Below are 13,394 nucleotides of genomic sequence, written 5' to 3'. Positions count from 1 at the left end.
GCCACACTGATCTGGGCCACACTTGAGCATTCTACACCAGGCATCAGTCCTAACTTACCTGGAATTTAAATACCAGATAGAGTGCAGTTCCTCCACCCTTACTTACAGGGCTCTGCCTAACCCCAAACAAAGATGCCTTCAAATCTGCTCTACAGCAGTTGTTTGGAAACAAGAGAAAAGTCATTATGCAAATATAAGTCATTCAAAACAATTCAGTCTTAAGGAGACAATAACTAGCACAGAAACGGGGAGATGAACTGTTTGTTCTGGGAGTTCAAATTACTGCCTTCAATGCTTTGTTATCAGGCCAAAAGGTAATTACCATTAGACCCAGTAACAATCTTCATTGTTAACCTAACACACCAATGACAGAGGAGAACTGAGAGCCAAGCACTTGGGTCTCATTTAATTTAATCACAAAACAAACCTCAGGTATAGCTGTTATTCTCCCCATTATAATAATGATAATAATGAAGAAACCGGGGCTTTTAGAGAGTGACCTGGCCAAGATCATACAGCCAGGAAATATTAAGGGTAGGAATGAGGAGTTTAGTTTGGGCGTTTAATTACCAAACTATCCTGGCTTCTGCTACGAACTACTTTTACAAAGACAGAATCTTACTGCATAGGTTAAACGACACTGGAATGACAGAGCAAGTCGTAGTTCTAAACATCTCACTCATTCAACAAGCATTTAAGTGATTCTAGACCGTCAGAGGACAACTGCAAAAAGTACTTGAAGAATAAATATTTAATAATAATGTAATTATAATTATAATCTGTATATCTAAACAGTGCCTTTGTAAAAACCCTTTCCATCATCTTCAAATTCAGTCTAAAAATAATTGTACGCTATACTTTTCAAGTGGGGTTTAAACTATTGTTTCATATTTAACATAAAATATTTTCCTATTTAAATTAACATACTTTTATGTTCACGGTAAACAAACTGCATAGGTTTTCACTTTCATTTTCTTCTGACATCTTCTGCAAAAGAATGGTCTGCCCATTTTTTGGATAAAAAGGCTAGAATAATGTGACCGGAGCTGGGTGAGGTGGCTCATGCCTGTAATCCCAGCACTTTGGGAGGCCAAGGCAGGCAAATCACTTGAGGCCAGGAGTTCGAGACCAGCCTGGCCAACATGGTGAAACCCCGTCTCTACTAAAAATACAAAAATTAGCCAGTCGTGGTGGCATGTGCCTATAATTCCAGCTACTCAGGAGGCTAAGGCAGGAGAATTGCTTGAACCCGGGAGGCAGAGGTTGCAGTGAGCTGAGGTTGTGCCATTGCACTCTAGCCTGGGAGACAGAGCAAGACTCCATCTCAAAAAAAATGAAAACATAAAAATAGAACAATGTGACTGGGAGAGACTTAAAGTGAGGAAAAATGAATGCTGAAAGAACTAGTAAACTGGCTGAAGATGGAACAACTCCCCATGTCTCCAGAGAGGCAGATAAGGGACTGTAAACCAGCAAATGCCACCTGCCTGTTATCTAGCTCAGAAAGGTGCACACCTCTGGAAGCAGCTGAATTTAAGTCCAGTGTGGCACTTTCAGAAAATGGCATCAAAGGTTGGACCATAAATCTTTCTTATTCTCCAGTCACTGGACATTTAAGAGCCAAGATATTGATGGGCTCTTTCCCTCCTTTTCTTTCTCCTTGTAGCAGATGTATGATTCATGGATTGTCCTTTCGTGGTCTCCATTTTCATCTTATTACTTTTTCTTTGCTTCTGCTTTCTGACAGCTCTGGAAAACAAGGTGCTAAATTATTTCACAGAATGAGCACAGTGAATTATGTAATTATGTTGAAGTTTAATTAACTAGCTAACCAAATAAGAAAATAGAAGAAGGGAAAGAATCTACTGTATTGCAAGCATAAATCCTCAGTCTCCTAACCATAACAACAAGGGAAGAGTCAGAGGCCTAACCAAGCAAAATGTTTGAGAAAAAAAAATTCTTTAAAAGATGGTTACTATGGATTTAGAACAAGCTGTCCGGGGCAAACACACCACAGAGGTAAATGCAAAGCTAGTGAGATTGGACTTTTTAAAAAAGTTTTTTGTACATCTGTATTGCTCAACTCAGCACTTCAATCTCCAAATCCTTGAATTCCGTTTTTTTTGGAGAGGAGCTGATACATGGGGCAGTCAGCAGAGACAGAAAAATGAAACAGCACAATGGAAAAAACCGAGAAGCCTTGAAAGGGCCTGTTTCCTAAGTCGTACAGATTTTCCTTTCCTCAGCGGATCTAAAAGTCCTGACAAGTGCCACGCAGGGTTATCAGCATTTTGTGGTCCTTATCTTGAAGATTAGCTTCAAAATAAACAAGCTGGAACTCACCCTCTGAAAACACTGAACCACACCAGACAAAACAGATTCTTTGTTTCTGGTGTTCTCCACACTAAGTTACAGGCGACCTGCAGCTGAGAAAATGACTGGCCCATCCATTCACTTCTCCAAGCTAGCAGAATCATGCCATGACACTCAACATATTGAGAACCAAGGAAGGGGCCAGAGCTACAACAATGCCAAACCAGGACTCCTCCCCTGATTACCCAGCAATATCAATTGTTAGGTTCACCTCTCATAAGCTTCTCCATAGGAAAAGCTTATTCTTGATCTTGTCAGGAATAAACCTGGGAAAAGAGCTTCATAAACAATGTATCCCCTAATGGGTTCAATTTATGCCTCACTTTTTGTTTACTCAGCATATGTTACCTGTTGAGAAAACAAAAATGAATGGGCATAATCTTTGACTTCAAGGAGCTGGGAGACAGAGATAAGGGGGATAGTCACCCCCTCTCTATCCCTACTTTTTTAGGTGAAAATGCTATGAAATCAATGAACACCCCATGAGGAACTTGCAGAACCAGCTTGATTCCAGGATCTGTGCTCTACTATATACTCTACTTTAAATTATTTATATATGCAAACTGCTAACCATATAATAATCACTCAATAAGTATTAGCTATTATTAGTTCCACATGACTATTATGCAGAATTTTGCTTGACAACTTTAAATTTTTTCATATTTAGATTTTGCACTATGGACTAGGGATACCTTATCAGTTCAAAATAGAACAGTCTACAGAAGGAGTAGGATTGAAAACTAAAACCAAAAAAGTCATCTTTACAGTATTATACTGATTCATGCATACTATATAAATCTATTTCCCCACTTTTTTAAAGTAGGATAATTTCTTGATAAGTGATGATTTAGCAAACTTAATGAAATATAGTATAATCTCTAATGGCAAAGTCAATGAAGCCATGTGTGCCTGTACACAAAATTTAAGTTTCTCTTTGGCTCATCCACTTATAAGCAGGACTAAAAATGAATGAACTTTCACTAGGGGATACGGTAAACAGAAACAGGAGGAAAATATTTGAAAATATTCATTTGTAATATGAATACACAAAACTTTCCAGAGATAAAGTTTTTGAATGATGATGAACTGACTATAAGTCAGTTTTATTTTGTCTTAAAATTAAATTGACCTAGTATTTGTCCTTTAAATTATAGGTATTTATGTAACTGATAAAATGAGCTTTAACCACAAGAGGGAGCCAGCATCATTCCAGTTAGCAACTAAAGAAAAATTAACACCAAGGAAAAACAAATTAATATAAGATAGCTGTAAAATGCATGAGCTGGAAAGACCTTTTATGTCACGTATGCTAAAAAGGCTGTTATTTTTCACTATTGTAAAGAAAAAAATAATTTTGCTTTGTCAATTTCACTATATATATTTTTTGAAAGCAGTAACTATTAACAGGAGTTTAGGTGTCTTCTCTGAGAAAAAAAGTAATATTATTTAAGAATTATCAGGCATCCACATCTCACAGGATTTGCTCTTGGAATTAAACCTGATAAGATCTAGTCCTGAAAGATACTAGATGATTTCCCCTAATGAAATAGTATATTAGTGCCAAACACACTAGCTGAGGCTATTTAGGAAGCAATGAAGGGCCTACAATAGAGTATCAAAATGCAAATTGTTTCCATGTAAGTTCACAGAATTAAAGGCTGAGCACGTTACTGACTACCACACAGAATCACACTGACAATGGTACAGCAATCCCAGACTAATATGATTATGAAGTTGTATTCAATTTTTGAAGGTTTATTCTAAGGAAAATATTTTATAAGATTCTTCAGGCTGGGCGTGGTGGCTCACGCCTGTAATCCCAGCACTTGGGGAGGCCAAGGCAGGCAGATCACGAGGTCAGGAGATCAAGACCATCCTGGCTAACACGGCGAAACCCCGTCTCTACTAAAAAATACAAAAAGTAAGCCGGGCATGGTGGCAGGCGCCTGTAGTCCCAGCTACTAGGGAGGCTGAGGCAGGAGAATGGCATGAACCCGGGAGGCGGAGCTTACAGTGAGCCGAGATCAGGCCACTGCACTCCAGCCTGGGCGACAGAGCAAGACTCTGTCTTTAAAAAAAAAAAAAAAAAAAAAAGATTCTTCAATAAGCTTCTTTAAGTTTTTAAAACTCTACTTTATCCTGGATTACTCAGTGGAAATAATTATTTAAAGTAGAGTAAATGTAGGAACGAGGCAGTTGTAATAGTAGCCAGAATTCAAGTGGCTAGACCACAATGGAAAAAAAAATTTTCACTGACCACAAATAAATAAAACACATGGGAAAGAATTCTAATATTACCATAAATAATTATTAAACTATCAGATATTTCTAACACAAATCAATTTTTTTAAATTACAAGTCATAGTCACATGGTAGCCCAATCTGAATTTTCATATAATGTCATATAATTTCATATAATGTCAAATTTAGCTGTCTGGTAATCTCCAATTAATAACTGTGTAACATTAGTTTTCTTAGCAATAAAGGAAGAGGACTTAATCACTATCATCCCTTTTAGTTAGGAAAAAAGTATAATCATTCAAATTAGCTCGGTTAAAATAGCAATGTTTTTCTCTTTTTGTTTTGTTTTGGGGATAACTATTCCAGAAGCAGTGCCTCTTCTAAATAAGCTATTGTCATAGGTATCCCCATACTCTGAGTTGTAATCCATAGCTCCAATCAAATATTGGTGAGAGATGTGAAAATAATCACAGGAAAAAAAGTAATAAAAATTTCAAATATTTAAGCATTAAGCATGTCTAAATATTTTTCTTAAAATTTGATACAAAGAAATAGCTTTCTCACAATTTTCCTACTGTGGAATTACTTGCTATTCAATCTGAAATGCCTTCTCCAGCCTTTCCTGCCATCATGTGTCTATATCTGATCTGTCCCTCAAAGCCTGACGTAAATATCATGTCCTTCAATAAAGCATGAACTGTCACCCCCTATAACTTTACACATGAGACGTAAAGCCAAGGAGAGGTAAAATTAACCACTTTCTACCTCATATTTTGGTTATTTTCATCTCTAAGCTGTAGAACTGTAAGCTCTTTGAAAGCAAGCTCTTTGAATCATCTTCCTCTCCTCCCTCCATCCATCTATGCAGCCAGTACTTAATAGTGAAAGTGACAATTAACTTGGCACTTCAAGATCCTCTGAATGTTGCATGCTTTTGTGGATTATCCTGTATAAAACACAGATGGAATACATTTTTCTAGTAAAGTATTCGACTGACTTGTTAGCTCTCTTAGATGTAGCAATGTTAGGACAAGTACTGCGTTTATGATCCAGTTCACCACAAATAAAGCAGCCATGTTTGGGGCCCTCACAAGAATGATCTGGAACAGCACAGTGATTGCAGATGCTACAGTGGATCCAGGCTGTAAAATAAAAATTAAGTTTTAAAGGAAGTTCATGTAACGTAATTTTTCATCTTATTAACTTTTAAGGTAGGATATACGAACAGTGTTTACTTGAAGTATTGTGGCCAGTTTGCACAGCTAGTTTTAGTTTGGCTAAAGAGACCAGGGAGAAGAGGTTGGAATTCCACATAAACTAGCTAACTTCTTTCTGTTACATGCAACAAATTCAGCCCTTCTCCAATGAGTTATGAGCTGACAGCTACTGTTACAATGGAGGCTGGCTGAGTGACACAATGCCTTATTAAAATAAGTCAAACCAAACGCCACACTGAAACAGGTTAGCAATCATCTCTCATGCAAGGCGGAACATGGCAGAACATACATGCTGATAACTATAAAATTAAAAAGCAAATAAATTACAAGTCTCTACACTGATTATTTTTTCGTTTATAAATCCAATGAAAAATCTATTTAGATGGAGAAAAACTCTAAAATATGTTCATAGGATCTCAAACACTAAGTCTCAATACTTACAAGGCTTTACACACTTTTTACAGAGAAAGCAATGGTTCCATTTCCTGCCATCCTACCAAAAAAAAAAACAATTTTTAAATTATAATTAATTTGTTATTAAAAATCAAGTTCTACAATTAAAAATTAAAATGTCTTATTAAAATCTGTGTAAATTATTCACTCCTTATTTCTGCCTTTTCTGGGCTTCACAATTAGATACTTTGATTTTAATTTATGCATTTCTCCACTCAACTCAAATGCCTCCTTGATGGGCCTCAATTTCCTTAACTGTAAAACTAGGAGATTTATCTAAATGATCTTGAAAATCCACTCCAGTTCAAGCAACCCAATCTGCACAAAGAAGGACTCAAATGAAAATTTCAAGAGAATTAATGATTCATAATTTTGTGTGTCTATACTGCATAATCCTTAATGAAATTCATATTTGAGAACTTTACATAATTTAGAAAGATAGATTACAGGTTACTGTTTGATTAATTTTAAAACTATGAAATAAAAATATCTAGAAAAGTGCATAAAATATATCCAATTTAATGAGTATTGTAAAGCAAACACGGATAAAACCCACCAGGTCAAGAAAAAATACCACCAGCCCTCTGGAAACTGCCCCATGCTCCTACTAAGTCACAGCATCCCTCCCTTCCCCTCCAAATAACACCTCTTTAGTTTGTGTGACTGTCATTTCCTAGCTCTTGCTTCCTTTTACCACCTTTGTGTGCATCTCTAAATAATAAGTCCATTTTCCTCAACTTTAAACTATACAGTCTGGGCATAATTGTTTTAAAATGAAGAATACACATCATGTCTCAACTAATAAAAACTAAATATAAACGATCAGATGTATTAACATTGTTAAAAACAAGTATAACCAGTAATACCATTATATAATCAAGAAAAATGTGCTTTCTAATGTTTATATAAATGTAGCCTCTTCTTTGGAGAATAATTTGTGTTTATGAGCCAAACTAAACTTCACAGGCCCTTTCTGACCAGATTTAGTTAAAATAAACAAAACAAGGGTCACCCGCCTTCCTAAAAAATTTGGTGATTTATAATTGCCAAAACTTGGAAACAACCAAGATGTCCTTCAGTAGGTGAATGAGTAAACAAGTTGTGGTACATCAAAGGAATATCATTCAGAGCTAACATAAAATGAGCTATCAAACCATGAAAAGACATGAAGGAACCTTTAATGCCTATTACTAAGTGAAAGAAGCCAATCTGAAAGGCTATATACTATATGATTCCAACTGTGTGATATTCTGGAAAAGGAAAAACTATAGAGACAGTAAAAAGATAGTAGTAGCCAGAGACACCCTTCAGGAAGAAGGATGAATAGGTGGAACACAAAAGATTTTTAGTGAAAACAGTGAAACCACTCTGTATGACACTGTAATGGTGAAAACATGTCATTATACATTTTTCAAACCCATAGAATGTAAAACACCAAGAGTGAACCTAATGTCAACTATGGGCTCAGGGTGTTAATGATGTGTCAACGCAGGCCCATCAGTTGTAACAAATGCACCCCTCTGGTGGAAGATGCTGCTAGTTGGGGAGAATGTGCATGTGTCGGGGCAGGGGACATAGGGGGAATCTCTGTACCTTCTGCTCAATTTTGCTGTGAACCTAAAACTGCTTTAAAGAACCAAGTCTATTAAGAAAAAATAATACCTAAATAAATAAATAAATAGGAGGATGTCCCTTTGCAGTCCTTCATCTGTAAAAAATCAATGAGTAACTGCACCTAATAAGGCTGTTGTGAGGATTAAATGAGTTAATCCATGTAAAGCTCTTAGGAAAGTGTCTGGCATATTAAAAGTGCACAGTACATGTTATTAATTATTTCATCAGAATGATGATGGTACCCAATACGTCAATGCCTTATTTGAAACACCATAATTTTGTCCTCAACATACACATAATTGAGCATTCATTTAATGCCTTATTTGAGACGCTGATAATTTTAGCAGTCACACAGTACCATTTGAAAATGAGTTCGTGATAATGAAGGCAGTTAAGTATTTTTAAAAGCCTGTTGTACTCTATAATTTAAAATATTGTATTATAGCATAATTAATAAATGATAATACATATTAATACAAATCCTATTAACAAAATAACATTGAAAAAGTAATAAAACTAGTAAACTAAAATAAAATGAATATATCTAAATAAAAATACATTCTATAAGAACACCATACCTTGGATGTGCAAGAATTACAGAGCTCACAGTGTTGATTCTCTAGAGAAACATACCGTTGACACGGAGAGCAAAATCTAGAGTAAAGGACAGAGAAATCAGCTGCATACATTTATTGAGATTTACAGAGTAGATAAAACTTTACAAAGCACTCATTACAAAAACTGGGTGCAATCTGAATTCAATTAAGTATGAAATTATGGACCTAATTTAAAAGTAACAGAAGAATAACATGATTCAATACTGAAAGCATTTGACTGATGGATATATGTAACTTTATTTTCAGTGACTTGTGTACTTCAAAGTTCCACTGTGATCTTACCTGTACCCTTCTTCAGTAGGAAGGATTATTTTGTTGGGCGGAATGTTGGTGAAAATACGCACGGGAGACTGTTTTCGACCTGTCTTTCCGTGTTTATAAAGTGCATGATTATCATAATCTACCTAGAAAGTTAAAAATTAGAGCAGAAAGAAAATTTACTCAAATTAGTCAACATTAAGATTCTTTAACCAATAAACGAACAAACTGATGCCAATATATGAGTTAAAGTATTTGTCATGCCAAGTGTCAGGTTCCAGTCCAAGCTGAGGACTGAGGGGAGTGGGTGGACCAGTGGTGGGTAGCTGGAATAACACTCAAGGATCATAGACAGTTTCGACATGGCTTTTTCTCTCTGGGCATGAGCGAGACTGGGCGCAAGCTGTGGGTGCAAGCCCACATGGGTGCAGGCCATATGTACAGCATTAGCAGGTAATTATACCTTTTACAGACAACAATGGCTCCAGGCCAAGCACGGGCTCATGTGGGTGATCACCTAATGAGCCTCACATGGCGTGGTTATATAACATGTGGAGTTGTACGACTGCGCTCCAAACCTGCTAAGTCATGCTGTGCCAGAAAGCCACCTCGGCCTACTCCTGACTAAAGCGCAGCCATCTCTCTTACACTCCACCTCCTTGGACAAGGGTGTCCTCTGGGCAGGGACACATGCCCATAGGGTGGAGCCCTGAATTCATAACACACAACAACACAGAAAGCAACAGCTCCAGGTTATGGCAGGCAACCACCTCATGGTGACGTTACCCCAATGTTGCTTTATACATTAAGCCAGGTTTTTGTTCCCCTACCTTTAAAGGCATTAGGACAGGCAACAACAGATTACCTTTTGTCCCCATACTTGGTTGGAGGAGGTCATCCTTCCTCCTATAGGGTCTTGCCACATGGCCTGGCCCCCAGGGGCTGGTGACCAACTAGTCACCTTGGTAACTTCTAGGTAGTTAACCACAAGGTTAACCCTTGATAGACCACCCAGGTATCAGTACAGATTACCATAGGGGTCACCTCCTTGGTGATCACCATCCACAATGCTCTAAGTTCAGCCCATTGGCTACTTTGCCCATGCCCAGTTTCAAACCATATGGTATCAGTACTAGGTTGGACTGCAACAGCAGTCTAGGCAGCAGTAGCACCTTGGCTAGACCCATCTGTGTATCATGCCCCCCCATCAGGAATGTGGGGATGCCCTTTCTTAAACAGCAATGGCTCAAGGTGTAGGGTTGCTTCAGGCACCATGGCCTTATCTTGCATTAGGACTACAGGTCCCAAGACCTCTTGCAACTCTGCTGCTAAGGGACTTGTACTCAGCATACTCTGCTGCTCCAAGTAGGTGCCCCACTTTGCCAAAGTGGATGCCTGCACTGTCCCAGTTTGGGGGATTGTTATCCATGAACACATCCATCACACTATCAGGCAAGTCGTATGCACAATGTCTGTAGCCTGTCCTGCCATGCTCTCATGAATCTGAACGGCAGCATATGAGTTATGAACTGCTTCTTTATCAATGAACAACGGGGCTCAGCTCCCTTCCACAGCTGGGACCAAAAGCCCAAGGGTGTTCTCTATGCACTGCTATTGGCCCCAGCCAAAACTATCTGTAGTCACAAGCACATCCAGCTCAAATGGGTGCCCCGGTCAACTACCTATAGGGCATATGCCCGCTAAATGGCCCACTTGGCTGCAAGGAAGGCGGTCTCAGCCGCACCATCTTAATTCTAGGCAAGGGGAGTGTTGCCGCTTCTAAATCTGCAAGAGAATCAGAGGTTAGCATAATATCATTAACAAGACCATGGCTAATGGTGGGGCTATGCAAAAAGCCCTGCGGCAACACTATGAAAGTCCACTGTCATCCTCCCATGAAGGCAAACTGTTCCTGGCTCTCTGGAAAAGAATGCATTAGCCAAGTCCACTATATAGTGATACTGTCCTAGTTCCATCAAGTGGTCCATCAAGTCCGTGATAGACGGCACAGCTGCCAAGTCATGTAAAATATCCAACCCCAGAATGTATCTGCGCTGGTGTCTACCAGCACCAGCACTTGCTGTACATTGGTGGGAGACCAGTGGATTGCTAATTTCACATGTGGCCTCCTCGGGAGGGAAACCTCGGCCAGTTCCCTCATCAAACAGAAAAGACTTTATAACCCCACCTGGCTGCAGCACATAGTCTTTAGGCTGGAGTGCCAGGGTGGGACCAGGTCGCGCAGAAACATTCTTCTCCTGCTTGGGTATTTTCTGGAATTGTTGCTCTGGAAACAACTGTCTCCACAAAGTTCACTGGGCTGCTTATCAATTCTCTCCTAGTCGACCCTGGCCAAAATCAAATCTATCCACATCTGTGAGCATGTCACTCATTGGGACCCCCTTTTCTCCCATTGGGGGCACCCCTGCAGGTGGGGCATCTTTCCCTTCTTTGTGGCACGGACCCCTTGATCCCGCCAACAGCCTCCTTGGTATCAGACCAGGTGGCGGTCTCTGGCCAAGACAACAGACCCAGGCCTGTATCCAGAGCAGCCTCTAATTCCTTTTCCAAGCTCTGTAGCCGAGCCTCCAGGTGCCCCGCCTGTGCCTGGAGGTCCCCATTCATGGCAGCTTCTAACTCTTTTTCTGAGCTGTGTAGCCAGGCCTCCAGGTGCCCCATCTGTACCTGGTGGGCCCTTATCTGTACTGCATCCCTCAGGGACTGGGTGTGTACTTCTCGTAGCACAGTCAAAAATGCCCATCCAACTCTGCTGGCAAAAGCTCATTCCTTCTCAGTGCTCTGCATTTCTAGCTGCTTCAGTACCTTCTCCATGCTTGCGGGGGACCCATCTACTGCTGCCCAGGTTTCCATTGGAGCCCATCCAAGCAGCACAGCTGACAATGGGCACCACAACCCATGCTGTGGCCACATGGCTGACCCAGAATCACCAGGGAATGAAGGCTCACTCTCCTCAGTATCCTGTTCGTGATGTCAATTGTCACGCCAAGTGTCAGGTTTCAGCCCAAACAGAGGACCAAGGGGAGTGGGTAGACCAGTGGCGGGTAACTGGAAAAAGACTCGAGGAATTGTAGACAGTTTCAACATGGCTTTACTCTCTCTCTGGGTGCAAGTGAGCCCGGGCATGAGCCAACCTAGGCACAGGCCATATGTACAGCGTTAGCAGGGTAATTATACCTTTTACAGACAATAGTGGCTCCAAGCCAAGCACGAGCTCACGAGTGATCACCTAATGCACCTGCGGTGTGGTTACATAACGTGCAGAGTTGTGCACCTGTGCTCCAAACCCGCTGAGTCATGCTGCGGCTGGAAAGCTGCCTTGGCCTACTCCTGACTAAAGCACAGCCATCTCTCTTAGATAGTATTTAACAAGAAATTCTTAAGAGCAAGAGTTTACTTATTAACCAACAGCTTCTGTAGCAGTAAAATTTCATTATTAAAGAGATTTGTTATGACAAATTCACATTGTCTAGTATTAAGGGAACAACTCTAATCTTTTATCTAATACAACAGACTTTACAAGAAAGTCTATTGTGTATTCAAGAACTTAGCTTTTGGCATTAAAAAATTCAGTCTTTGAAGATGTGTGCTCATTTGGTCAGGGTTTCCCATTCTGTGTGTGAAATTTGCTCTGTGTCATCTTATGTTTAAGAACAGGGTACCGGTACTTAAAGTTGCTGTGAAGGTTAAATGAGATAATGTTTGTAAAACACTATTCAAGGCCTGGCATAAGGTAAAAAATGGAGATGAAGACACAGGTTCACAATTATTGTTGTTCTCCCCACAGTGACTATTTCAAACATGTACCTCTCTCCTCAAGGTCCTTAACTCAACTTTTAGTTTCAGCAGATTATCTTGAAAGCAAACCGAAGTGAACAAGCATGACTTCTATTAGCTTCTTACTTCAGTCTCCTCCTCCAACCTATTATCCACAAGCATTCTCAATTTGGTTTTAAGACTGCTATGAATCCACCTGGCCACTAAATCCACCTTTCTTTACATCAGTAGCTCTCAAAGTGTGGTGTCTGGATCAGCAATATCAGTGTCACCTGGGATCTCATTAGGAATGCAAATTCTCACCTCACCTAGGGCCTAATAAAACAGAAACTCTGGGAGTAGGGCCCAGCAATCTGTGTTTTAACAAGCCCTCCTGGCACACTAAAGTTTGAGAACCACTGCTTTAGATTATCCACAAGAATACCATGAGGTTTTTTATGAGGTCAGTACAGGTAAGCCTGACATTCAAATAAGTTATGTACTGAATTGTTTCTATAATAAACAAGAATACAAAAGAACTTACAACAAAACTGGCTTGTAAGCTAGCTATTTAATAAGTGAATCACAAAAATGTAAGAAATTGAGGACAAGGGAAAGAGAGGCCTTTAAGGGGAGATTCCTAGGCTCGTTCTCCAGCCCTGTCTAGTTTAAGGGTAAGCTTCAGCAGTGGGAAAAACTAAGTACACTGTAGCACAGGATGAGGAGACCCAAGGGACACTGTGGAAAAGCCCCTAAGGGTTTCTGGCTGTCAGTATGGTGAGTTTGCAGTCCAGCATAACTGTGTAAAAGCTGGCACGGACTCACAGTTGGCCTATTTGGAAGTACA

At 39.7% G+C, this 13,394-nt stretch overlaps 1 protein-coding gene across 4 annotated transcripts in view; it reads right to left on the bottom strand.

Moving 5' to 3' along the window:
- Window positions 1-394: 394 nt before the first annotated feature.
- The window catches only part of ZCCHC4 (zinc finger CCHC-type containing 4), a 57,610-nt gene continuing 44,610 nt past the window's right edge, over window positions 395-13,394 (bottom strand). For 3 of the 4 annotated variants that reach the window (XM_011513835.3, NM_024936.3, XM_017008129.3), the window contains 5 exons: window positions 8,798-8,919; window positions 8,477-8,552; window positions 6,273-6,324; window positions 5,612-5,756; window positions 395-1,749 (listed from right to left, as the gene is read on the bottom strand). In XM_011513835.3, coding sequence (XP_011512137.1) covers window positions 1,614-1,749; window positions 5,612-5,756; window positions 6,273-6,324; window positions 8,477-8,552; window positions 8,798-8,919 — 531 coding nt within the window. In that variant the 3' untranslated portion in view covers window positions 395-1,613. Of the gene's footprint in view, window positions 1,750-5,379; window positions 5,757-6,272; window positions 6,325-8,476; window positions 8,553-8,797; window positions 8,920-13,394 lie in introns of all 4 variants that reach the window. The other variant, XR_925324.4, reaches the window with a different exon arrangement.

The sequence above is a fragment of the Homo sapiens genome, chromosome 4 (genome assembly GCF_000001405.40).
Source record: "Homo sapiens chromosome 4, GRCh38.p14 Primary Assembly".
Lineage (NCBI taxonomy): Eukaryota > Metazoa > Chordata > Mammalia > Primates > Hominidae > Homo > Homo sapiens.
This window is presented reverse-complemented; position numbering and strand designations above follow the sequence as displayed.